The sequence below is a fragment of the Homo sapiens genome, chromosome 7 (assembly GCF_000001405.40).
Source record: "Homo sapiens chromosome 7, GRCh38.p14 Primary Assembly".
Lineage (NCBI taxonomy): Eukaryota > Metazoa > Chordata > Mammalia > Primates > Hominidae > Homo > Homo sapiens.
In genome coordinates, this window is record NC_000007.14 from 117073493 (window position 1) to 117101249 (window position 27757).

At 38.4% G+C, this 27757-nt stretch overlaps 1 protein-coding gene and 2 long non-coding RNA genes across 19 annotated transcripts in view, besides 2 other annotated features; 1 reads left to right on the forward strand and 2 right to left on the reverse strand.

Annotated features, from left to right (window-relative positions):
- The window catches only part of ST7 (suppression of tumorigenicity 7), a 276676-nt gene that overhangs the window by 119992 nt on the left and 128927 nt on the right, over nt 1–27757 (forward strand). For 13 of the 17 annotated variants that reach the window (NR_161420.1, NR_161421.1, NR_161418.1 and 10 more), the window contains exon 2: nt 26270–26352. The exons of 2 other annotated variants lie outside the window; for them this stretch is intronic. Coding sequence is in view for 11 of the 15 variants with exons in the window: in NM_001369598.1 (NP_001356527.1) it covers nt 26270–26352 (83 nt within the window). In the remaining 4 variants the exon portion in view is untranslated. Of the gene's footprint in view, nt 1–25120; nt 25324–26269; nt 26353–27757 lie in introns of all 17 variants that reach the window. 2 more of the 17 variants (NM_001369607.1, NM_001369606.1) reach the window with 1 other exon arrangement.
- The window catches only part of ST7-AS2 (ST7 antisense RNA 2), a 73521-nt gene that overhangs the window by 1421 nt on the left and 44343 nt on the right, over nt 1–27757 (reverse strand). The window contains exons 1-3 of the long non-coding RNA NR_109980.1: nt 17230–17289; nt 7373–7580; nt 328–434 (exon numbers count right to left, since the gene is read on the reverse strand). This is a non-coding gene — a long non-coding RNA (ST7 antisense RNA 2). Of the gene's footprint in view, nt 1–327; nt 435–7372; nt 7581–17229 lie in introns of the transcript that reaches the window.
- Nucleotides 3257–3756: an enhancer, noted in NCBI's record as "H3K27ac hESC enhancer chr7:116716803-116717302 (GRCh37/hg19 assembly coordinates)". NCBI's record gives its function as "activates a minimal SCP1, AML or CMV promoter by ChIP-STARR-seq in primed H9 embryonic stem cells {active_cell/tissue: H9 hESC(primed)}" and the evidence as "EXISTENCE:reporter gene assay evidence [ECO:0000049][PMID:30033119]".
- Nucleotides 15253–15893: an enhancer blocking element, noted in NCBI's record as "nonconserved region 4 (NR4) negative regulatory element (NRE) in the greater CFTR locus". NCBI's record gives its function as "strongly blocks activation of an SV40 promoter by the HS2 beta-globin enhancer when located between the enhancer and promoter in the forward orientation in transfected K562 and 293T cells {active_cell/tissue: 293T | K562}" and the evidence as "EXISTENCE:reporter gene assay evidence [ECO:0000049][PMID:18436892]".
- On the reverse strand, nt 17940–26887 carry LOC124901732 (uncharacterized). The gene is made up of 4 exons (XR_007060490.1): nt 26858–26887; nt 23574–23767; nt 18860–19075; nt 17940–18548 (listed from the first exon to the last, which is right to left on the reverse strand). It is a non-coding gene; the product is annotated as an uncharacterized LOC124901732 (long non-coding RNA).

Here is a 27757-nt window from a genome sequence, read left to right on the forward strand (position 1 = left end):
TAACTGCCTAAAGTGGTAACATGTCTCTGGTACTCCTGAAAAGAGGCAGCTTGTTGTGGAGGGCAGTGTGAGTGGTTAGGGCCACAAACTTTGGATCCCAACTACCCGGGTTTAACTCTTTCTTCTACTGCCACTACTCGTATGACTCAAGTCCTTAACTTCTCTATACCTGTTACCCCATCTGTAAAAGGGGGACAGTAGTAGTACATACCTCAGAGGGTAGTTATGAGAATTAATAATAATATTTTAGAAATCTGTGGAAAAGTATCTGGCCTATAATTAGCCCTATAAATGTTTGTTAAGCAAATACACAAATAAAATACATACTTTCCCAGCTTCCAGGAATCAGGAACTAACTTAGACTTTTCTTTTCATCTCACGTGGATATTGTTCTCGTGGAATGTTGAACATTTCTTGAAGTATTGTTTTAAGCACTGTGGAAAAAATAATAGTTAAAATTGTTAGCAGATCATGGAATTGGATTTTTGACCTCAATCCTTTTGAAATTAAGAAAAAAATTACACTAGTCACTTTAAACTGGTTGTTCTATATGTTTGTGCTCTAACAATATAGAAACTAGATATTGTTATATGATTTCCTAGATACAGTTAATCTAGGCTGGGCATGGTAGCTCACACCTGTAATCCCAGCACGTTGGGAGGCCAAGGCGGGTGGATCACTTGAGGCCAGGAGTTCGAGACCAGCCTGGCCAACATGGTGAAACCCTGTCTCTACTAAAAATACAAAAATTAGCCAGGTGTGGTGGCGCACACCTGTACTCCCACCTACTTTGGAGGTTGAGGCAGGAGAATCGCTTGAACCCAGGAGGCGGAGGTTGCAGTAAGCTGAGATTGTGCCACTGCACTCCAACATGGGCAATAGAGTGAGACCCTGTCTCAAAAACGAAAAACAAAAACAAGCTACTATCTTGTTTAGATAGCGGATCTTTTCCCCCTCATAGAGAGTGCTTTGGCAGTTAGGAAAAGTAAATCACACCGAAACTGTTTATGGCGACCCCCCTCACCCCACACACTGTGAGCTAGTTAGACAGAAGATAATGCAATTTACAAATATCTGTGGGTGGCCAGGCCTGATTAGTACATGTAAAAGAAAAGTCATTAGATACACTGTGACTTCAAATAATGAGGCAGAGTAATAGGATTTGTTTTAATAAGATTTTGAGAGATTAAACCTCCTAAATCTTTGTAGTTCTGTCAGGTAAAGTTAAGGAAACCAGCACTCCACAACATAAACAATGGTGTTCTATTTAGAACCCCTGCAAAATTAGATGTGATTGGCTTCTCCTAAGACATTGAGTTGTAGTTAGTTGACAGGTTTGTTGGCCAGTAAGCAGTGGTGCTATGGTGAATAGTGCCCTTTTTGTATTTGTATTCTTTTTGGTACAGATGTATAATCTCATAGAATAATTTCAAATTAATTAGTATTGCAGCTGAACTATGTGATGCTATCACAATTTGGGTTAGTGGGTGAATTTAGTAGTTTTGGGTGCTGTTCATTCTTTCTAGCTTAAATCCAAGTAACTGAATATTTAAAAACTTTCTTTTGTTGATAAAGGTGATACCAGTGGTATGCTAATATGGTGAGGATAATTTTTATTCCTTCCTAAGGATTTTTGTGAGGAATAAAGATGAAAATAATTACTCTAAAACATATTGCAAATCTATTAAAATATATCCTATTCATGAAAATTTATACTAATGGCCAGTATCCTTAATGTTACTTAAGTTCATAAGCACTCATAGTTCAAAGGTTTATTTTTTCTTATTTTGAATATATATTATATGCCATTGAACTCAATTAACATAGTGACAATTTTTATTTTGTTTCATGGTAGAAGTTGTACCTACAGAAATAAAGGAGTGGAGGTAGGTAGAGAAGGATTAGAATGGGAGGTAGAGCGAGATAATGTAGTGGCTACACGTTTCTTTGCTCCCAAATTAAGATATTTGGACTAATTGGAAGACTGAGAAGTTCAGCCTCTCAGCACAGCCCATTGTTTCCCTGCCATCCACTCCTCTGGATGTCAGGAAGAAGTGAGAGATGGAAAGATGTGTTTGTTTGCTCTCCTCCACATTGTACTTTTTCCTGCTTCCAGGCCTGTCTGTGTGAGGCCTGAACCAGTGTGAAAAAAGAGAGCTGGAGAAGAACATACATCCTGTCATCTCCCTGCCTTTAGAGTTTTCTAGAACAGTTGCTTCGTAAATTGCAGGGGATTCCCATAAGTCAATAATTTATCCTGATCTTTCTCAAAAATAAGAGAATTTCAAGATATCTCATTTTGAAACCAGCCCAATTGCCCCATAGACTGTTCTTTTTGATAAACATAGAAATTGACCCTTCTGGCATTAAAAAAGTTGAAACTTATATTTGATTTCTCTTGAGTTCCTTCCTCAGGAAACTACCTTTAGGCCTCTCACACAAAGTACCAAAGAACTGAAACCAGATCCCTGCACCATATGCCAAGAGATCCCCTCATTCACCATGTTTGCTTCTTTGCCCCTCCCAACTTCCTGGTTTCTTACACATTGTTACATTGCTTACCTGCTATATAAACTCCTGGTTTAATCAGTCAGGGAGATGGATTTGAGACTGAACTCCCATCTCCTCAGCTACAGCACCTGATTAAAGCCTTCTTCCTTGGCAATACTTGCCACCTTAGTGATTGGCTTTCAGTGTGGCGAGCAGCAGGACCTAGACCAAACCTCCGGTGTTTCAGTAACAATTTAAAAAATAGATTATAAAACAAAGGTGGTACAGAAACTATCTTGATAAATCTGTGGTGAAACTGAAAGTAGATTTTTCATTTCCAGATTATCAATTTGGGATTTAGCTGATCAGGATACCAATTTACAAATTAGCCAATCCAATATATGTGTATGTATACACATACACCCAAAACTTCTTAGTATTTCTTGCTAGTGAGGCAGGATATTTCCTTGACCCCTTAATGGGTCTCGCAACAGGTGCCTTGTTTACTCAGCCTGCTGCTCTCAACTCCTTATGGGAGGGAGTATGCGAGCAAACAAGGTAGGAACTGGAGTGCATGAGCGCTGGAGTCAGCTGGCCACTTGGGCACTGGCAGGATCAAACTCCACTCAGACCCACTGCCTTCCACCCCTTGTGGGAGGGAGCACCCAGGTGAGTGGGTACAGGAGCTGGAGTGAGCACTTTTGGGCACTGGTAGGAGCGAACTCTGTGCAGGCCTTGTGGCAGCATCCAGGCAGGATCCCTGCGACTCCTGAAGCCCCAGGAGGCATGTTACAGTGCCCTTTTAGCTCTGCCATCCACGGATGGCTTAAGTGTTAACAGCTCAGAGGGCCCTCCACCCTTTCACATGAGGCGGCTGTCCTCTGCCAGTGAGGGCAAAGGGCCAGTGTGACAGCCTTTTGTATCTGCATTCATGGCTCCTGAGCTCTTGTCTGGCACCCAGGAGAAACAAGTTTACACAAACGAATTGGATGGTAAATGTGGGGAATTTTTCTTGATGATGAAAGTGGCTCTCAGTGGAAAGGGGAGCTGAAAAGGGGACAGGGGGCTATGTAATCTTCCCCTGGAGTCTGGCTGTCTCCAGCCAGATTCTTTTTTGAAGTAATGTCGTCAAGCTGTGTCTCCGAAGTCAAGCCACTTCTCTGCGATGTCCAGCTGTAGTCTCTGATGTCCAGAGGCTTCTCCTTTCTCTGCTGCCTGAGTCTAGGGTTTTTATAGGCACAGGATGCGGGGTGGGGCAGACCATGGGCAGTTTAGGAAAAGGGAACATTTGAGTGGGAAAACAGGGATATAAGTTCTCACTTTGGGCCGTGGTTTCAGGTTTTTCAGCTGGAGGGTGGGGCTTTGCCATGGACCTGCCCTTTTCTGTCTAGAATTTATCTGCCTCCTGTCCCCATCATCAGGAATTCTCAGTGATTTATAAATATTGTCTTATTATTTTCTGTAACATCACTTAGAGGAAGGTAGAAGTATAACATATACATCTATGACAGGGTATGGCTAGCACACATATTTATTGAAGATTCTAAAGGACTGTCCTCAAACCAGAGAAAGAGTCACATTTAGGAATCCAGTAACTCTGCTTTTATGCTACTGCAGACATTGTGTTAAATAGGTGTTATAATGCAAGCCATAATAGCTCCAGATGACAATTTCATTGAGTTTAACCATTTAGAATGGATAATATGTTGTAGTAGTAATAATAGTTATTATAGGCTGCATGTGGATTTGCCTCATTTTAAGCAAACCTGAAAAAAATACCTATGTTATCAAATTTTTGGATTTTTGCCAATGTAATCAGTGTGGGTTTGAGTTCTGTTGTGAAAGAGGTATTGATTTCTTTCTTTTTTTTTTTTTTTTTTTGAGACAGGGTCTTGCTCTGTCCCCCAGGCTGGAATGTGATATTGATTGCTAAGAACTATATTTATTAGTGAGATTAGCCCTTTGTGATATGAGTTGCAAAAGGTTTTGGATTCTTCACTTAAGTGCTATGCTGGAGTTGTCATTAGAGATTTGTCATTTGTCTCAGAGGTGAAAAGAGCCTTGTAGTTCAAATCTCTCAATCTATAGATAAGAAAAATTGACCCAGAGACATTAAGCTATTAGCCCAAGAGAGAACAAATCTGATCCCTAAATCTTTTCTAGGAAACAAGGTTCCATGTGGCTAGAAGGGACTGAAGGACAGAGAGAAGAACTCATAGGTGCAGCCATGTTCATGTAGTAGTTTTATACAACTGGCATCAAATCCAAAGCATAGCTTGTAACTCCTTGATGTTGAGAAGGTGCAGCTGGGCATTTTAACAATTTAACAGTAGAATAGAAAAGCAAAGATTTCAAAAACTATAATTATGTTTTTACAACTTTAGTTTTAGGAGCATTGCTCATTAGTTGCTAATTAATCCATATATCTGGTGAAACAGATGAATAGCATGTATTTGGTTATCATATAAGCATTGTGAATCCAAGTTAACATGTTACTTTCATTCTTTCTAATGTAATTATTATGCTATTATCAATTTGTTACCATGCAGTAATCATGCAGTTTTAAGTTACTGCTTAAAACCCAGAGTGAGGCATAGAAATTTATGTCGAGCTGGACAGAGCTGAATGTCAGCCACATGGTAGCAAGATAGATGCTTTGCATCAGGGTCATTTCTACTATTATAAAGCTTGAAAAAGGATAGAACAAGAAGAGTCATGGTTGTATGGATGTTGTTATGGGTTTGAATTAGCATATGTAGGACATTCCAGTACAATTAATAACCACTCAGTTAATTGGTTGGGGTGAATTCTCTTTTAGTGTTTCATTTACCTTATAATTAGCTGTAACTCAGCAATTAAGTCATGACACCAGCCCACTGTGACACTGAAGGTTGGAGGATAGTGCTTGGGTGCATTCTGCTCATATTAAGTCAGAGTTGTTGGTTTCCTAAGTGCCTCTCATTCTCTTTTAGGTTCTTCAATAAATCTATGTGTTATTCATATGTAGTCACAAATGCACTGAAACAAATGCCGTCTGCCCCAAGAATCTGCAGATTCCACATCTGCAGATTCATTCAGTCAATGGCATATTGAAAATAATATTCTGAAAAAAATGCATGGTTGCGTCTGTACTAAACATGGATAGCATTTGTTTTTTACTCATTACTCCCTAAACAATAGAGTAAAACAATAGAGTAAATGCTATTTATGTAGCATTTATATTGTATTAGGTATTATGAGTAATCTAGATATGGTTTAAAGTATACAGGAGGATGTGCATAAGTTATAAGCAAATACTATGACATTTTATGTAACAGACTTGAGCATCCTCTGCTTTTGGGGTCCACAGGGTGAGGGGATTCCTAGAACCAGTCCTCCATGGGTATTGAGGGACAACTATAATTTCATACAGGATTTTGTGATTGTAGCAAACTGTAAAAATTGTTTCATGTTCATGTACTATCTTTCTAAAACTAGAATTCAGGTTACATATACACATATAAATACTTTTTCTCATTGGTTCTTTTAGAAAAACTTTTTAAGACAGGAGGATTTTCTTCTTGATGTTGTTGCTGCTATTATTCTGTCAACTTATTCTTAAATAACTTGTTTTAACTGAAATAAAACTGAAATATTTTTTGAAAATTCCCCTAAATTCCTGCTTTAGAAAATAGCCTGTATTGTTTGTTTTTAAAGCTATATATGCTTTTATTTGTTACCAAAATAAAACAAGTGTGTTTAAAAATATTTAAGACTAGAGAAAATGGAAAAAGTGTGTAAAATAAAAGTTCCATGTAATTCTATCCTCCAAAGACAACTACTTAATGGATTCTAGTTTTATGTCATGCTTAAGAAACCTTTTCTTCCACTGATTAAAATACACCACTAGTACATAGAGTAGAAAATTTCAAGTCTGTAGTGAAGAAAAAAAATCACTTACAGTTCTACCATTTGGAGTTGAGCACTATTGGAATGTTTGTCATTCCTTTTTTTTTTTTTTTTTTTTTTTTTTTTTTGAGACGGAGTCTCGCTCTGTCGCCCAGGCTGGAGTGCAGTGGCGGGATCTCGGCTCACCGCAAGCTCCGCCTCCCGGGTTCACGCCATTCTCCTGCCTCAGCCTCCCAAGTAGCTGGGACTACAGGCGCCCGCCACTACGCCCGGCTAATTTTTTGTATTTTTAGTAGAGACGGGGTTTCACCGTTTTAGCCAGGATGGTCTCGATCTCCTGACCTCGTGATCCGCTTGTCATTCCATTTTTCAGTGATACATGTTACAGAAACTGTCCTTATGTTTGTGTACCTATACAGATAGCTAACGTATCATCTATACACTTTAAACAAAAGATGTCAAACTACACACACTTATATAATTTGCTTTCTAAACTAAAATGGAGTGATCATTTTCCTGTCATTTATAACTTGATTTTTAATGGCTGCATACTATTCTATCATATAGATATTTAATATTTAACCATTTTTCTTGTTGTATATTTAGTTTTTAGGTTTTTTTGCTTTTGCAAATAATATATTTATAGATATATTTTTGCTGAATATCCTTGAAGATAAATATTTTTACATGCCTATTATTATCTCCTTAGGCTAAATTCCCACGTGTGTAGTGATTTTTAAAGAACAACAAAAATATGCTCAATTCACATGTATGAACTTATGGGATTGATGAGTGGATGAGAAAGAACCCATCAGATTTTCAGAATGACTTCAGCAAGTAAATTTGAAGATTCCAAATTTCAGGCTTTTAATTTAAATAGATAATCTAGCTTTAAACATTCTGCATTTAGGTACTTAAATATTTTGGTTGAATATATATTAATAATCACCATATTTGTGCAGAGGAAGCCTATTGTGCATATTTTAATACCAACCTTATTTATGCCATTGAGTTTTCTATCCATTGATTTTTTGGAACTGTGTATATCACACCAAAATCCAAATCCAAAGTGAAAAAGATAGTCAAACACAGGTGTTGTGGGATACACAAAAACAAGCAAAACTAGATTTTCTTGGAGAAAAAGGGTATGATGACTTCCCAGGATGCTTTAAATTTCTTTCTTGTTTTTAGCTGACCTCACTCTAGGAAGAGAAAATAAATTATATTAGTTATTTTATTTCCAAATAAAAGCAAAAATTATAACTTGAAAATATAAAAGGGTATTACCTCAAATGTTGATTAAAACAATAGTTATATGACTAGAATAAAATTTGGACTTTAACATGTAGAAACTGTAATAGCTACTGTTTAGTGTGCTCATAGTAGGTACCTAACATGGCCCTAAGAACTTCTTCTCATTCTTATTAATCTTTATTAAGGCCAGGATAATAATATATGCATGGCAGGTCTGAATGCTTCAATTTTAAATGCTTCTCAAATTATTCATCTTTTTGATGTTTTAGATCCAGGAAACCTTTGGATGCCTCCCCACAATTTATTAAATTTTTTCAATGTGTTAATCATTTCCTTTATTATTTTTATAGAAATTATTTTAAGTGTGATTTGGCACGACCTGTAGCAGAAATTTTAATCATTTCATTCATCTTTTTACTATCATAGTTTATCTGAGACATAATGATTTTTATGACTTCAATGACACCTGAAATGAAACCAGTACTCTAAAGTAGTTTTTGTTTAACATGATTTGATTCTTTTAGAATTTATGTTTTGCCAGAGTGAATGAGGAATTCAGATATAATAGTGACTGTACAGTAATGAGTTTCATTTCTAGCTAGCTATTTTTATCCAAGGAATTGGTATTCTCTAAAATGACAATTGTAAAAGATGACTAAAATTATTTTTGAAACATTTTTAGACTTGATATACCAGGGTTCCACTAGAGAAACAGAATCAGTAGGCTACACACACATACACTGAGACAGACAGAGAGAAATAGAGATTGAGAGAGAGAGAGAGAGAGAGGCAATGAGTTGGGTTCCAGGATTTTGGGGGCTGGCTAGGCAAGTCTGAAATGGGTAGGGTGGGCCATTAATCAGGAAGGGCAGGCTGGAACTCTTGTGTCTAAGCTGAAGCGGCTGTCTGCAGGTCAGATTTCTTTATCAGAGAAGCCTCAGCTCTGCTGTTAAGGCCTTTGAATGGATTGAACCAGGCCCACCCAGATTATCTAGGATAATCTTTACTTAAAGTCAATGGATTGTGTATTTTAATCACATCTACAAAATACCTTCACAGCAATACTTAGTGTTTGGTTTAATAGCTAGGGGCAGTAGTCTACCCAAGTTGACACACAAAATCTCACCATCACACTTGATATCTGAACCAGTTCAATGCTCATATAGAAACACCCACTTCATTAATAGGTAGTTATAATTTATCCATGATAAAAACCAGAAATACCCAATTTGACTACTTAATGCTGGTACTAGTTTGGGCTATACACAGTTTGCATGTTACAAAAAGTAAATCTACCCTTGAAATAATAATATTTACCAGAGTTGAGAATATTGAAAAGAAGGTATGCTAGGCTATATTTAGGATTTTTATAAAGTTTCGAGGAATGGCAGCATCATTGGGATACTGATCGACTTCCCAAATGATGTAACTGGACAAACGGTCATTTAAACCTGTGCTTCTTAAGCGGGGCTCATAACTCCCCTGAAATATATTCTTATTTTCTTCTGCCATTAGAAGGACTTTAGTAGAAAATACCAGAGAAGCATTGCTTTTATTTAAGGTAAACCAGGGGTCAGCAAACCCTTTTCTGTAAAGAGCCAGACAGTAAATATTTTCAGCTTTGCAGGCTGTACAGTTTGTTACACTATTTAACTCAGCTGTTGTAGCATGAAAGCAGTCATAGACATTACATAAACTAACAAGCACGGCTGTGTTTATAAAATGTATTTACTAACACAGGCAGTGGGCTGGATTTTGCCTGCAGACTGCATTTTCCTATCCCTGATGTAGACAGGTCTGGTGTGTTGGTTAAATAGTCGCTCTGTTTGTAATACCATACATATCTAGTGACAGGATGTATTTCAGCACAGTTTAGGAATTGGTCAACTATTGAACACCTTCCATTTTTCTGCTATTTTATTTTATTTTATATTTTTATTTTATTTTATGTTGAGACGGAGTTTTGCTCTTGTTGCTCAGGCTGGAGTGCAATGGCACGATCTTGGCTCACTGCAGTCTCTACCTCCCAGTTTCAAGCGATTCTCTTGCTTCAGCTTCCAGAGTAGCTAGGATTACAGGCACCCACAACCACACCTGGCTAATTTGTAATATACATACATATATATATTTTTGTTTGTTTGTTTGTTTTTTGAGATGGAGTTTTGCTCTTGACGTCATCCAGGCTGGAGTGCAGTGGCACAATCTTGGCTCACTGCAACCTCCGCCTCTCTGGTGATTCTCCTGCCTCAACCTCCCGAGTAGTTGGGATTACAGGAGCCTGCCACCATGCCCAGCTAATTTTTTTGTATTTTTAGTAGGGATGGGGTTTCACCATGTTGGCCAGGCTGGTCTCAAAACTCCTGACATCTGGTAATCTGCCCACCTCAGCCTCCTAAACTGCTGGGATTACAGCCATGAGCCACCGTGCCTGGCCACATTTCTCTGCTATTTTAATAAGAACATAGAATAGAATAAGTATAGGAATGGGGTAGTGTTCAATCTATTAGGGGATTAAAGCTATTATATATAAAATTATTAGCACACAATATAGAGTTATGATATATATTTTATATGATTATATAGCATGACTTATTAAATATATGTAATGAAGCATATTCTCTTAATTCTCAAGAAAGAAAAAAAGTAAGCATTCATGTTTGTTTTGTGGCTCAGCACAGAAGCTAGGCCAGGTGCAGAGATTTCCTTGTGAGCATATGGAGGCAGCACTAAGGCAAGCTGGTGGCTGCCAACTTCCTGGCTTTGGTTCCGCCTCCCATCTCCTCCTTATTAACAAACGACAATAATCAAAGAAAAAGGAAGCTGAAACATTATTTGAGCATGTATGTAGAGGACATAGGCATTTGGTAGAATATCATAGACATCCAAATACTTGAGTCTGAGATTCTAAATTCAGTAGCAAAAATGCTACTTTTTACTCTAACACTATGTAGTCAATCATAGTTCAGGCACAGGCTAAGAAACCAGCAGATTTTCCAATTCCTAGAAAAATGACCTAGGGAATAGCACTTACCATCTTTAGGTATTAGTTTCTTCATCTGTTTTAGTCATGCCTTGTGTTAGTGATCTTTAAGCTGGAGCAGATCAATTCCCATGTGTTAGAAAGATGACTCAGGTGGCAGTGTAGAGTTTGGGTTAGATTGGGTGCTGAGAGATGGCATCTAGGAGACAGGTTGGGGGGATATGATCATCCAGGTAAGAAAAAGGAAGATTGGACCACTGAGGGCAACACAGATGGAAAGAAATCCAACTGGAAATACCTGTGAACACATGCTTGGGTACAAGCTTTATGTGAACCCAGGGTGAGTAATGCTGTGGGATCCTTCCAGTGTAAGAAGCCCTTAGAACAATGGTTAGGAACTCAGGCTTCAGCACCAGTTGTACCTGAATTCATATCCTGGGTCTGCCACTGTCTATCTGCGTGACTTTGGACAAGTGACTTAAGTGATTTAATCTTCACTTTCTTATCTCTAGATACAGACAGGATAATAACACAAAGTTGTGAAAATTTACTAAGACACCATGTAAAGCATTTAGCCCATTGCTGGTTGTTTTATGAAGATTCTATGAGTGTTTGCTGCCATTATTATTATTCATTATTATTATTTGTGGGAGGAAGTAAAGTTCAAGTACCAATAATAATTTTCAACCATTACAAATTGTGATTATATAAAAGTTTTAAAAATTTCTCAGGAACCAGGGAGCATTCTATTTTTCATTCTAATTTGAGAATAAAATTATATTTTATGTTTTTACTTTTCTCAAAAGCGGTAGGAGCAAATCAGTTTTAGGTTGTCATTTTTTCTGTTTCCAGGTTTTTAGAACAGTAGATACCTGTTCTCTGTAATTTGGTATGTCTATCTGTGTAATGCTTAAGTCAGTCCTGGCGCTTGTTCCTAAGAAAAGGAAAATAAGAGGCAAATACATATTGATTCTGTACAAGAAAAAGAATAAAGGAAGGGAGAAAAACACCAAACGTCACTAGTGCTCTGTGACAGAAGAGAAAAAGGTTGTGTTTCATAATACACTGAGGTAGACTTTATATTAAAAACATACTCTCCCCAATACTCTGCAAGTTGGATTTTTTTGAATATTTCTTTTCATCAGCTAGGTTCTTATTTTATTTTATTTTCTCTGCAGCTGTTGGTCTGTCTCATGTTACATTCCCATCATTTATGTATCTGGTTTTGCCTGTGATGAAGCTGAGAAATGTCTCATTTTAATGGTTTCTGTGTTTTGTGTCTGTCTGTTTTCCAGTTTTGGGGAGACATTTAAACCAGTAGTCATGTCATCTCATGTAATGACATGCCTCTCTGCTTATTCTCCCTTCTGTTACCAAACAATATTTATGGCTAGCGTCTGTATGCATGTGTGCGATGACTATTTGCTATACAGTTGCCTAGAGCACTGTGAAACTCCACATGTTCAATGGAGTGATTTCTTTTTGTTTTTCTGCATGCTATCAAGTACTCTCAAAGTGTTCCTTCGGCTTTTTGCATGAAAGATAGCTAGAGGATAGAAAGGGACATTCCAGTAAATTCTACTTTGTAGCAAATTGAATATAGAGGTTTTTCTTCCAGTAATGTTTTCCTCCCGATTTTTATGTAGAAAGTGTTTTGTTAAAATTCTGGAAATGAAACTCAGAAAGGAAATTAAAAGAAAAGGGAAGAATTGCATCAATTATGACAGATAAGAGATTAACGTACTTACTAAGAGCTTTTATAAATTAGTGCCATTCCAATAGAAAAAAAGGCAACACGAACTAGTAATTAAATTAAATTTAAAAAATTAATTAAAGCATTAAAAACTAGAGAAAATAGACATAGAATTTTAAGCCTAGCTAGTAATCAAATAACCAAACTTCCCTCCTCTCCCCTCCCCTCTCTTCCCTTCTTCTCCCTCCCCCTTGTTTTCTTTTCCTTTCTTTTTTCTTTTCTTTCTTGAGCAGGGGCAGGGAGGAATGGTTTCTTTCTTTTTTTTGTTTTATTTTCTGTATTTTAAAAAATGTTTTGGGAAAACAACTTTGAAAAGCAAAAGCAATCTCCATCCATTTTGGGGATACACATTTGTTTGTTTCTATAGTAACATGATGGTTGGCCTTCCAGTGGTAATACTCATTTGTAATACAACTGGGCCAGAGGTACCTTCTGAGTTCATGGCACAGGATTTCTTAGAGTGAGGTTGACTGACTCATTCAAACCTAGGACTGTAGCTTCATTAACCTTGAGTTTTAACCAATTACTGATCCACCTCAAGAAACATTGTCTGCATTCTAAGGATCTAGGCGTTAGACAATTGCTAATTAAAAACATGAAATTTCTTTCTTTTTCCTTCTGCATTACAGATGAATAGATTATTCACCATGAGGGATGACCATTTTGGACACTATTTGAGATAATAAGAATAGATGTTTAAGAGGGGAAAATGCCATTTACATGGGCTAGGAGCATTTTTATTAGGGATGAATTTAGCTTGAGATTTGTTTGGTAACAAAAAGCACCTGGAATTTAGATGCATCTTTTAATAGATTTTTTTTTTAAACTGGCTTGCCAATATTTGAAAATATCAGTGCTCCAGTTTCCACCGACTGTTACCCGTAGACATTACGTAAAGCCAGATGCATTTGTGATTTAACCGGAGTTCACAGCCCAGGACCTGAGGAGATAATTTTAGGTACTTTCTGGAAAAATAACTGGTCCTTAGGTACAAATGCAAAGCCAAACGTAGTTATTGGAATTGAAAATAATAAAGCCAAGGGCTTATTTTGGACAACCATGCAGCTGGAGCAGCTGAATACTAAAATAGTGGCCTGTGTGGTGGTTTCCCCTGTGGCTTCTTATCTCCGTGGGTTACACACCCTCACCCAGGGGAAGACAGCCTTCTTAATGCAGCTTGCAGCAGGCCTTCTTTTGCGGGGCAGATTTTCCTCAGAAGAGAAGTACATTAGTCATTGAACTGTTAGAGAATATAATGAAAAGAAAAACCTAACTTTGGATCAGATTTGAATTTTACTACCCCATGGCCTGTAGCTGCTTCTCTGACTCAATATATTATCTTCCTTTAAGGCAAACTATTTAGTTTTCAGTTAGTAGAGGGTTTCAAAACAAAGCAAGTAGATTAATAAAAAGTGTAAAAATCAGAATAAATAGAATAGAAAATAGATTTATTTTTATTTTGTCATGTAATCTCGGCTGATAAAACAGGAATATACATATGTGTGTAGTGGTCAGTTTCAAAATCATGCCAGTTAAAGTTCTCTGTGTTTTAATTTTTCTTAAAGGCATATATAAAAAAGAATCTCAGAGAAAGGAGACACATTCATAATGATTAACCATACATACATCTTTAAAAGTTTGGTGTAAGAATGAACCAGTATTATACTTCATAGAAGGGCTGATTGTTCTTGCAGCAGAAAAAAGATATGAGTTTTATTCATAATTTACTTACTAACTCATTCAATGCCATTTATCTTTAACTTAAGTCACACTTAATGATAAATGCTCTCCTCTTTACTGCCAGACTGCCTGTAGAAGTAGCTGAGCTGGCTGCCTTAATTTCCTTACTATTCACTGTCTTTAATCACTTCAAATTTGACTTTGGCCCCACTTCACCAACATGCCCAGACTCTCGCCCTTTATGTCACATTGGGAAAGCCACATCCTGTTGAATTTAACTCTGCAACATCTGATATGCTCAACTCCCCTCTCTGGTGGTATTATAGGCGCTCCCCTCTGAAATAATTCCCGCAGCTGCACATTTTACACACTCTACCCCATTGCTACCAGATGTGTCTGTCTTTGTCACATCTCTGGTTATGAATGGTATCTTCTTTCTGCCTGCTATATGAAGTCCACTTTTCTTGGCTTGGCATTTGAGCCAGCATTCTCTCCCACTGCTTCTCATCCGCCCTGTTTTCCAATCCAATTCCTTTATGTATGCTGTGATATCTACCTAGAGTCCATACTCTCTCTTCTTTCCTCTCTAATCTCATGTTCAAAGCTTATCCTTCTTTCCAAGCCCAGAAGGAAGGACATCCCATTCATTAACCTTCTCTAACCCTCCTAGCTGGAAGTAATGTTTACTTCCTCTAGATTTTATCTGTACTTCTCTTCTGAGATGTTTCATATTCTGTGTTATTTGTGTAGCCATCTCATTTTCCTGTCTCAAGGGTAGGATCAGTCTCATTATCATGTTATTTTCTGCCCCCAGTGTCTAGTTCAGTGTATGATACTTTTTATAAGCTAAATATATTTTAGATATTAATAAATGTAGAGCATATATGAAAGATGTTTTAGAATATAGATGTTATTCCGTTATACTTGTTAATATTCTTCTTACATTTCTTAGTTATTTCCATGCATTTTAGATTTAACAATTATCTGTTCAAACAGTTGATTATTGTGAGTATTTTGAACCCTTTTATTAGGTTCCAGCACATTAAGTAACGAATTGCCGTATTCAGCTTTGTAGCATGTAATCTTCCAAATCTTACTATTAAAGTTTCTGTAATATTTTTTGGTATAACTTCCAGTATAGGAAGAGTAAATGAGAAGCTAGTGAACAAATTCCCCTTAAGATAATGGAAAAGTCCTAGCACATTTTGCATGGCTGATGCTGTGAAGAGCCCTTTGGAGTACTCCAGTATGAAGACAAGAACAAATGGGAGTGTCCTTTTATACCACTCACTCCAGCCACCCCATAAGAGCATGTAATAGCTCTCTACAGTGACACTGCACCTTGCAAGAACTGAGCAATCCAAACATTTCAATTCCCCAGAGCACCAAGCACTAAGTAAGAAAAAAAGGCCAGTGCGTATAGTACATACAGATAAGCATAAAATAATTACCAAGGGAAGGCCTTACCTTTGGCCCTCAAACACAGCTGTTATTTTACGTAGTTCCAGTGCACATCTTTTAGGGCTGTACTTAGCACCCTTCTCAAGGAAACATTCCTTTATGCACACTCTGTCACTCACTCCATCCAGCCCATGGCTGAGTTAAGAGTACTAGCTCTATATTTCCAGCAACACCAGAATTATAATTGCCTGCCAATTTGTCTCCATGTCTGCTTCTCCCACAAAACCTAGAGCTCCTTGAGGATAAGAACTATGTATATATCATATATCTTTGTATCACCAGTGTTTTACATAGTACCTGGCCACACGTTGAATATGAATATCTATTGAATGGCCAAAGCTGGTCATGCGCCTTTGAAATCACAACAGATTTTTAAGTAGCACATTGAGGAGAAAAGGCAGTTTGAAGCAGGTACACAACAAATAATAATAGTTAATATCTGATAGTGTGTCAGGTGACAAAAATAACATGAAGAAGACTTAAAACAAAACAAAACAAAAAAAAACCTGTGCGGGATTACTTACTTTTGGAGGCAATAACCTAGAGCACTTCAACAGTTTGTTTTTTGTTTTTTTGTTTTTTTTTTTTTTTGAGATGGAATCTCGCTCTGTCGCCCAGGCTGGAGTGCAATGGCGCGATCTCGGCTCACTGCAACCTCTACCTCTTGGGTTCAAGCGATTCTCCTGCCTCAGCCTCCTGAGTAGCTGGGACTACAGGCACCCACCACCACGCCCGGCTAGTTTTTGTATTTTTAGTAGAGACGGGGTTTCACCATATTGGCCAGGCTGGTCTTGAACTCCTGACCTTGTGATCCTCCCGCCTCGGCCTCCCAAAGTGCTGGGATTACAGGCATGAGCCACCGCACCCGGCCTCAACAGTTTTTTAAAAAACTTTCTTGCATGCTAACACAGTACTGTAGTTTACATTCATTTTGATGACTTAGAGTTACCAGTCAAAGATTGAAATATGTTCTGGCCATTCTTTTTAAGGGTGAAGTCAAGTATGTAATGCATTTTGGAAAGATTCCGTTGTGAAATTGTTTTTAAAAGTGTCTGGTTTAATAGGATAAAACCTTAACTATCCCACATGACTAATTTCTGAGGGTTCTACATAGCCATAGTCTTGCTATATGAGGATAATATAAGTATATCTGGGACCATCTTGATTTATTAATGTGTAGTAGTCATTGAGTCTTCCTAATATGGACTTCAGACTGTACAGGTAGTCTAAGGATAGAAACACACACACACACACAGACACACACACACACACACACACACGGCAAAGTCCCAGCCATCAAAGACTTGTAGTTTTGTCAGATTTATATTTTCTTATGAAGGTTATTATCAGAAGTCCTGGGAAATGGTTGTTATAACTTTCCTACCTAGAACTCTGCCCCTTGTAGTCATTTAGCGTTTATCAAACATTGAGTACTGTGTGGACCAGGCTCTGTGCTGGGTGCTCTGTGTTGGCTGATGGAGGATTGAGACACAGTGTGTGTGCTTGTAGGGAAGAGGTTCCCAGAGCCTGGAGCACCTTGTCTTAGCAAAGTTTCTATTTCTCTTCAATGTAACTATGTGGAAGGTTTGCTTTGTGTACAAATAGACATTTATTTTTTCTTCCTGGTATTAAATAGTTTATGAGAAACAGACAAACTTGTAAAATAGTCTTCAATCATAAATGAAAGCATATTTTAAATAATTAAAAATATAATAAGACTTACTTAGGTCTTTCCTCTGTTCTTGACCAGGGTGGAGATCTTCATTATCAAGTTTCCTGTAACTAAAAGGGAACAGATCGTCTGAGATCTTGCTCCACTTGTCCTTGAGGGTTATTAAGGTTTGTGTGTGACTGGGCGTTGGATGGTCCTTCATGATATCAGGGAAGGTTGACAGATGGCCTCCCTCCAGCAAGGGAGAAGGTGCCATGAAGACTGAACACTGCATTGTTCCCACCAATACAGTTTGCGCCAGTATAGTTTCCCAGACCACAACTGAGGAAAGAATGTGCTCAGCTCCACTCCTCAGCAGAGCCAGATGCCCAGTACAGCAGAAACAGTGTACCTGTAAAGTTGCCTAGGCGACATCGGGAGTGGAAGGAAGAGTAGACAGAATGATTTATGAGGGTTTCTTGCCATAGGAATGGGTCTAAAATTATACTTCCATGTCTTTTCCTCAAGAATAAATGACACAGGATTTATCAAGGGGATTGTGATACATAAAACCTCAAGACCTTATCAGACCCCAAGGAGACCAGGGCCAAGGGCAAGGAGAGGGGCAGCAGAAGCAACAAATGAGGAAAAGAAGTGCTCGTGCTGTGCTTTTAATCCTTGATCGAACTGATGCTCTGCCTTGATGTAAAACTGATTTTTAAAAAACATGCAAATATTGTGTATTTAAAATAGGACTAGAAAAAAAACCACTTACTGGGTGAAATGAAGATATTTTATTTCCATATTAAAAAAACAGCTCCTCTCAGCATCTACTTTAGTATTAGCACATTTGCAAAGACAGTTACATGCCAGCATGTGAAATAGCATGTCATGGTAGCAGAGGGAGAACTTGTATTTTATTTATGAACAATCGGGAAAGAAACGCTCGGGGCACATAGAGTTGGTGTATCTTAGCACCCTTTCTCGGCATACTGCAATTAGCCAGCATTATCAGATGTCAATGTTGATTTTTATTTTCATGAATTATTATGTTGGTGATGGTATCAGTTTTATATTGCTGCCTAACAAATTTCCGTAAATATAGCAGTTTAACACACACTTCTTATCTCTCAGTTTCTGTGTCAGGAGTCCAGGCATGGCTTAGATGGGTCTTCTGCTCTGGGCCTCACAAGGCTATAATCAAGGTGTTGACCAGGCTGCTATCTCAATTGCAAGTTCAGTCAGGGGAGAATCTGCTTCCAGTCTCACTCAGGCTGTTGGCAGTAATCATTGCTGTAGCACTGAGGGCTTGAGTTTCTGACTGGCTGTTGTAGAGGCTGCCTGTGGTCCACGTGGCCACTTCATTAAGCCAGTAAGGAGGATCTCTCTGTCTGCCACCAACATAGAATCTTACATAGTTGTTTGTTAGAAGCAAGTCCCGTACTCCATGTCCCACCCACATTCAAGGGAAAGGGGTCACATAAAGTTATGAATAACTGGGTGCCTGTAGTCCCAGCTACTCGGGAGGCTGAGGCAGGAGAATGGCGTGAACCCGGGAGGCGGAGCTTGCAGTGAGCCAAGATCACGCCACTGCACTCCATCCTGGGCGACAGAGTGAGACTCCGTCTCAAAAAAAAAAAAAAAAAAAAAAAAAAGAAGTTATGAATACCAGCCAAAAAAAAAAAAAAGAAGTTATGAATACCAGCAGAGCAGGGATCGTTGGAGTCACTTTAGCGTTTGTCTGTCACAGGGTCATTCTGAGGAAAAGTTCTTTCATTTTAAAAGCTGTGCAATCTGGAAATCTGTTTGAAATTAGCAGGAGTGTAAACTAAGCCATTAGAGCTTCCATTTTTCATTCCCTTGTCCTTTGGTAAATGAGGAAGGGCAGAAGTAAAGTTGCAGCCTTACTTAATAGATGCTGACAGGAAGGAAGAGAGAAGTTAGTAAGGTTGAAAGAACAATGAAATGAGAGAAGATGATATTCTCTATTATCACATGGAAAAATACAAATGATGGATTAAACTATTCCGGTGTGTTCCCTACCTTACTTTGGAGGTCTGAGAAAACAGTCTGAGGCGAAGTCCCTGCTAGACTAACTTATCTCGTAATGTGCTTTCTATAGAAAAGCACATTTTCAGTAACTAAATCAGAAATGTTGCTTTGCATGAAATTGACAATTTCTTAATCCACCCTGATAGCCCAGTCTTCGGGCCTGGAAGGTACTGTGGCCTTGAATATTCATCCCTTGCAATGAAAACATTGCTAACCAGCATGCTTAGGTTATGGTTTAGGCTTTAACATGGCTTATGTCATAACCATAAAAAGACTTGAAGAAAAGGAATAAACAGGATCACAGGTGGTTCCCATATGGCCTGTGGCTCAATTGATTGTTCCCACGGTATCTGGTAAGGCAGTAATCGGAGATTTAGGAGCACATGTTAGACTTCAGGGACATTTCTTTGCCTTCTAAAATGGCTGCTTTCAAAATCACCCTCAGGTTTAGTACTACCCCAAGCAACTAGAATCCAGATAAAAGGACCCTTCTATGAAATGATTCTTCATTTGTTTTGTAGGGCATCCATATTTCACAGGACTAATCACAATGTGGATGTTTTACATCCTGGGCTGTACACTGTAGCACAGTGCTTGGCACATAGAAGATGCTCAGTTAATGCTAATATGACAGCTACTACTACCATTGTTAACATTTACACATTCAGCTCAGTCTCCCCTGCATTCTACAACTATAGTAATATAAGATGCCAAATCAGGCCGGGTGCAGTGGCTCACACCTGTAATGCCAGCACTTTGGGAGGCTGAGTGGGGTGGATCAGTGAGGTCAGGAGTTTGAGACTAGCCTGGTTAACATAGTGAAACCCGCATCTCTACTAAAACTTCAAAATTAGCCGGGTGTGGTGGCACATGCCTGTAATCCCAGCTACTTGGGAGGCTGAAGCAGGGGAATCACTTGAACCCGGGAGGCGGAGGTTGCAGTCAGCCAAGATCGCACCACTGTACTCCAGCCTGGGCGACGGAGTGAGACTCCGTCTCAAAAAAACAACAACAACAACAAAAAAAATCAAAAGAAAAACAGCCGTCATAATACATATTATTTGATGAGGTCTGCCGTATTAGGCACTTTATCTACAATATTATGTTTAGCTCTTGTGACAACTATGCAAGATAGGTATTACTTTTAAAATTTTATAGACAATGAAACAATCTCAAATGTACACGAATACTTTTTGTAAAGAGATTTTCACCCACATTGATTTACCAAGAAAGTAAGTAAACCAAAGCCCCCTATTCTTTATCTTTTTAGTTGGGCCGCATTGTCCATCTAGGCATTGCATAAACTTGTTAGAGAGAAGTCCTCCAAAAATCATTTTGGTAATTTTGGGGAAGACACACAGCTGTCCTGATTTTTAGAAGTGCTATTTGGATCCATGTTAATTTGTCTCATCATAGTGGAAACTGAGACTAGCCATTCACTACTAGTCAATCAATATTCCATGTATTTGTATACAGTCACTTTAGATAGTAATTTCACATATCTAATTCCCCACCAGTGCCTTAACTGCGCTTCACTTTCCTTCCCTGGGCATTCACCCTCAGGCCCCAGGGCTGCGGTACTCTGCATGGAATGGCCTACCGCTCTACCCCTCACTGTTCCCTAGTCTCTGCAGCCATCAGTAACTTTACCTGGTTAACTTTCTATTCAGCCTACAAGTCTCAGATGAGATGCCTTTTCTTGGCAGAAATTTTTCTTGATCTTCCATTCCTTTTGGTGCCCTGTCCCTTATAATTTCCTCGTGTGTCCTTTCCCATTTGCTTATCCGATGACTTGCTTCTCTCACCCATTGGATTGTGAGCCTCTTGTGGTCAGGGGCAGTGCTCTGTAAGCTGCTGTGTCCCCAGAATCTGGCCCAGTGTAGGCACTCAGCAGCTATAGACTGATGTTAAGAGAAAATGCACATTTCATCTCAGCCTCAGAGCAGTTCTGGGAAACAGATAGGAAACCAAAGCTCTGCAAGAACGTGGGACTCTCTCAGGGCCATCACAACACTGTTGTTGGTCTCATGTTTGGTGACTGGGTCTCCTATTCCTGGTCTCTTTCCTAGGCATAATGCTTTTATATAAAGTCCCTTCCATTGTTTTTTTGTTTGTTTTCTTTTTTCAGCCTAAATAACTTAGTTTCTCTAAACTTTTCTCCCAGGGACTCTTTTTTAACCCTTTGAATTATTGCTGATTATTATCTTAATAACTTTTATTTTTTTTCCATTTTGCATGTCATATTTTAGCAAAGCATTAAAAGGAACACGGCACAAAGCACACCCATATTTTTGGATGCTGTGGATTTCATCATGCTGCTTATTCCATTATATCTAGTCAGTACCTCCAAGGCATTAATGCTGCCTTACCTCCTTCATTCGAAGACTTCCCTGTGCAAGGTGGAATATACGTAAGGAGGCAAACAGACTGGGTTATATGCCTGCTCTGCTTTACAGAGGCCTCTTCCAGGAGTGTAATACGGGGGTTGCTCATACTCTGAAGAAGATAGTGGCAGGCTATTACTGTCATGAGAGCCAGAACGTGGCTGGCTTCTTACAGACATGGCTTCATAGGGGCATGCCACGTGATTCCTGAGTAAGCCTTCTGGTGTGAATTCCCTGCTCACTGGGGTGATTCTTCACTTCCCACAGTTCAACCTGCTGTATTATCCTCTTACCTATGCTTTTCTGTGATCCATAGAGGTAATTTAATTTTCAGTCCATGTACCTACCCTGCCTACTTAGTTTCTTCTCAGTGCCACACTTAATTCCTTCACATTTACTGATTAATTAAATGAGAAGACTATGCCAGGTGAAGGTTCAGCATCTTCAGAACTCTACATGATGCATTCCCTGAGGCTGCCTTTCAATAACTGAGGTGATATTCTTTGAGCAGTGTGACCTGTTAGAGGTGCCCAGTCAGGTCCGATGAAAAGCCCTCTGATTTGTTGAAATAGTGCATTAGTAAAGTATTATAGTTTATTTTCACAAAGCTAGATTAGTTGTTACATGTTGGTTTTTGTTTTGCCTAGCCCTAACAAGTATGGAGGTGACCTTGATGTGTCTATAGAATATCAGGAATATCTGGCTGGGTGGGTGGCTCACACCTGTAATCCCAACAATTTGGGAGGCCGAGGTGGGCGGATCACCTGAGGTCAGGAGTTTGAGAGAGGCCTGGCCAACATGGTGAACCCCCGTCTCTACTAAAAATACAAAAATTAGCCAGGTGTGGTGGCAGGTGCCTGCAATCTCAGCTACTCCGGAGGCTGATGCAGGGGAATCACTTGAACCCGGGAGGTAGAGGTTGCAGTGAGCCAAGATTGTGCCACTGCACTCCAGCCTGGGCAACAGAGCGAGATTCTGCCTCAAAAAAAAAAAAAAAAAAAAAAAAAAAAAAAGAATATCAGGAATATCCATTTTATGTCTCAACTCACATACCTCACAGTTTTCTGGTCCAATTTTTAGGCACTTTATCAGGCCCTCATATGTTTTCAAAAATAATTGCTAATGACTTTGATGAAGCTAGGCAAGATATTTTTTGGTTTTAGGGCAGTTTGGGCTATAGTTTGCAGCCTTCCTACTTTAATAGAAGAATTTTTAAACTAGATTCTCCCCCTTCTCAGGGTGGCTTTCTGCCTTTCCATTCTAGTGCTTCACACAGAAATGACAAGCTCACAGGGGACTTATCTAGAAAAGGCCGAGATAAAAATAAGTACAATGTTAAAAAAATCTATCTTATAGTATCATTTATTTAGAGCTTCCTCTCCTTTTCTAATGAAAGGCTGCTGTAGTTTCCTTTTGTGCTTTTTTTGCTGAAGGCTTTTCAGTAATATTCCCGTGTGTCCCCTGTGATGCTAAAAGCATGAGCTTGGGGGCAGGTTGACTGGCATTCAGGTCTTTGCTCAGCCTCCAGCCGCAAGACAAGGCGAATAATATTGATCTCATGGAGCTGAAATGAAAATTAACTTTTCTAATCTGTGAAAATGCTTTGTTATAATCCTTAAATACATGAATACATAGGTTGAAATAGCAAGTACCAAGTGCTGACATTATGTCCACAATTGCCACATGCCATGTCCTTATGATTTTTGCCAGATGTTTAATAAGATTATAAATGAATAGGTTATTAAATGGGCATCTCCTACTCTCTAGGTGTTTCTGTTTCTGCTTCTCTGTTTTCTGTTTGTATCTCCATTTATTTTAATGCCTACCATTATGTGAAGTCTGCCACCTTCCTATACATGGATATACCAGAGAAATACATTTTAATTATTAATTATTATTGATATATAATCTTAAAAACAAATGAATGGAATCTTTATTTTTAATCTCTTTTAAAAAAACTCAATTTTTTTTTTCACTTACTGATTAAATCTTGAGTCTTTTGCCTCCAGTGGATCAGTGATTTTTCAGCAGAAAATCTTTCCTCTCCATTGCTTTGTGCTTTTGTTGCTAGGCAGTCAACAGCAGGGCTACTAAAGCACTTCTAATTTAGACAAATCTTTTCCTCTATTTTAGAAATGGATTTCAATGGTGTTCAGTTTGTTTGCAGAAACCTACTGAAAGGTATATGGTACAGATATGAATGTTTATAATTACAGAATAACAAAATGAATATTCTGCTGGCTTTTTTTTTTTTTTTGAGATGCAGTTTTGCTCTTGTTGCCCAGGCTGGAGTGCAATGGTGTGATCTTGACTCACGGCAACTTCCGCCTCCCGGGTTCAAACGATTCTCCTGCCTCAGCCTCCCAAGTTGCTGGGATTACAGGCACCCACCATGCCCGGCTAATTTTTTGTATTTTTAGTAGAGATGGGGTTTTGCCATGTTGGCTAGGCTGGTCTCAAACTCCTGACCTCAGGTGATCCACCCACCTCGGCCTCCCAAAGTGTTGGGATTACAGGCTTGAGCCACTATGCCTGGCCTCTGCTGACTTTTAAAAAAATAACAGGGAATGTGGGGTCACTCATAGTGTGGAGGGAAATTTTGAGAATTTTAAGCACCTCTGAATCATATTGGCAGTTATAAGCTGTAGGGGTGTTTTGTGCACATTTGATTTTTTTTCCTTTTAAAAAATCTCCTTCCTTCCACGAACAAACTGTTGCATGGGAAATGACATATCACTATATATATATATATATATATGTATGACATATCACTATATATATATATGACATATCACTATATATATATATATATATATATATATATTTTTTTTTTTTTTTTTTTTGATGGCCAGGCAAAGCCTCCTCAACTCAACTGTAGCTTCCTCCTCTTACCTCGCAGTAAGCTGATGACTACTTCTGTGCCTTCTTCTACCTTCCCGGAAGTTCCAGGTCCATTTAGTTCGAGTTGTAAATATTGACTGAACACATTGTGTTAGTCCAGTCTCTTGTGATTGCAGATGAAATACCACAGGTCAAACAAATTCATTTAAGAGTAGGTGCAGTGGGAGGCGAGCTTATTGAGAGGATGCTTGGGTGGCACGAAAGAATGGAACCAGTGTACCCTTCAACATCCATGTCTTTGTTGCTCAGTCTCCTAACCTCCTCAACCCTTGCATCTGCTTGGAAAGGCCCATGCTGTCTCCTTGGCATCTTGAGGCAGGTCCTTTCCTCTGTTTAGATTGTCCTCCCATCCCTCCTCCTGTCCACTTTGGTTTGGTTAACTTTTAGTTATTCTTCAGGATTCAGCTGAGATGTGTCCATCTCCTGGACTTCCTCCCTGCCACCCAGCCTGGGATGCATCCCTCTTAACATGTTTTCATAAAATCCTACACCCAGGACCAATCTATGCACTTATGTAATAGTTGCTCATTTGCTTGTGTGTTTCAACTGCACTTGGTCTTCTAGAGAGTGGGAACTGTGTCTGATTCATTCTTTCATTTTTTACCCATTGTCTCATTCATAAACAGAGAAAAATATTTGTTGAATGAGTGAACGTGGGATCTCTGTTCATTTTGGTATATTACTTTGCTTTCTGGGCTGAGCTCAGGACAGATGCCAAAGCCTTTCCCTCTAATGACATCAAAGCCCTACTTCTAAAACCAGACTGGATGTGATTCCCTTCTACAAACAGATTCAGTAAAGAAATGTGAATACTCCCACAAAAAGCCCAGTAAGTATGTGGTGGTTTTGATAATAATAAAAGTTTTGTGTAGTATCTAGATATAAATAACAATGACTTAAAATATATGTATAAAATACTTGTAAGTGAACCCTAATCAGTGAGCAACAAGGTTAACTGAATAGTGGGTATGAACAGAGTGGTCAAGAAGGTGCCTGGGCTACTCTGCCTATGGAATAGCCATTCTTTATTCCTTTACTTTCTTAATAAACTCACTTTCGCAAAAAAAAAAAAAAAAAAACAAAAAAAAAAGAAGAAGAAGAAGGTGCTTGGCAGTGAACATTCATTTTTAGAGGTTTATTTTTCATTTATTTCATTGACTCCATTTATTTCGATGACCAGTTTAAAAACCTTTTAAGTAAGTTGAAAAAAACCTTTTACTCATCATACACTGGCCAAAACCACAATTACTTTTGCACCAACCTAATAACTTGTCAATTTGTCCTTCCTTCTTAGGGGTAACCATAGTATAATAATCTTTAATAACTATTTAATATATTAAATATAGCTATTTTCAGTTTATTCTAAGGTTGAAATACTGCTTGTTGATGCATCAGGGACTCTGATGTGCAGGTCCCACAAAATGTGTAAGAGCACCTTCTCTTTTTGGCTAACAGTTTTGTAATCAACTTTGATTAAACTCTTCCATGGTTATGAATCCATGAAAACCGTTATCAACAATTGTTTTGGGAGTTAGAAATTACAAGTACTCTATTTTCTTGTATGTAGCTTTTTTCTTTCAGTATATATTACTTGACACCTAGTATTCTGAGCCTATGTAATGGTGAATCATTTTAATGGGATCTTACTATGGTTCTAAGAATTATCATCATCAGAAATAAATGATTTTACCAGAGAGAAAAATGAAAGAGCTGGTTTTACTGACATACTCATACATTCCTTGTTCTTCTCCCTTTCTCTCTCTTTTCTTTTTCAGTGAGCATGTTTTTGAACACATTAACACCGAAGTTCTACGTGGCCCTAACAGGCACTTCCTCACTAATATCAGGGCTTATTTTGGTAAGTGGTGGAGTCCTTCTCATTTAAAAACATGCTGATTAGTAATATGTGTATTAGTGTATGTACAGTAAAAAACTCTGGAAGAATATACACTAACAGGTTACAGTGATTATCTTGCACATGTATATATGTTGGGGAGTGGACTCATAGAAGCCTTTTACTACCCCATTATATTTCTGAAATATTTGAAAACAATTTAAGCAATCGTATATTACTTTGTTGAAGGGGAAAAACAAATGTAAATGAAATGGAAAATAAAGGAAGACATAATTCTCTGTCAAATTTTACTATCTAAGATATTGTAAAATAAATGTAACTCAGTTCAACTAAAAATCATCAATATGGGGCTGGGCGCAGTGGCTCACATCTGTAATCCCAGCACTTTGGGAGGCGAAGGCGGGCAGATCACTTGAGGTTAGGAGTTTGAGACCAGCCTGGCCAGCATGGTGAAACCCCATCTCTACTAAAAATACAAAAAAAATTAACCGGGTGTAGTGGCACATACCTGTAGTCCCAGCTATCTGGGAGGCTGAGGCAGGAAAATGGGTTGAACCCGGGAGGCAGAGGTTGCAGTAGCCGAGATCGCGCCATTGCACTCCAGCCTGGGTGACAGAGCAAGACTCTGTCTCAAACAAACAAACAAAACCAACGATCAAAATGGAATATTGTACAAAATCAAGATCAATAGAAATATAGCTTAGTTTTTTTTTAAATGTATTGACATGGATTGTGACAATTCTAAGTTTTTTTTCCCTTCATCTTCTTTTCTTTCTAAATTTACATTTATTTATGCATTGCTTCCTTTAAAAAAAATCCCTAAAATGCAAAAAAGCAATATGATTATCATTTGTATGGCTCTATTACCTTATCTTTGTAACAGTTGCAGGTGTGCTAAATGGTAACACTTGAAGTAGTTAATTTTAGTGGCCTCAAATGGGGACCATCTAAACTCAGTGGGACTACTCTAATAGAATTAAATGACCTTTAAGGCAAAAAGGTTTTAGAAAAGCTTTTTTTCTCTGTACCCATATACTTGTGATTAAATTATAGAAACAAGCATAAGAAAAATTTTACAGAGTTGATGTTAAGAGAAGTGGATGATCAGAAGAAAAACAGAAAAGCTTTAGAGAAGGGTGCAAACATGTGGAGCAAAGAGCATAAATGGACCTAGAATAATGGTGGATTTCAGAAGCTTGAGCTTGTGAGGAGCCAGAGTAAAAAGATGAAGAAATGTATGGAGGACAGAAACCTGCAAACAGAGGAGAGGGATGATGGCAGTGTGGGGAGGATCTTTTTGTGTGCAGAGAACATCCAGGTTCATCTTGCTTTGCTGTGTCATATGGATTGTTAAACTCGTGGCATGAGATGTTTAAAGTTGGTGTTAAATGTCCTCCCACACATCTCC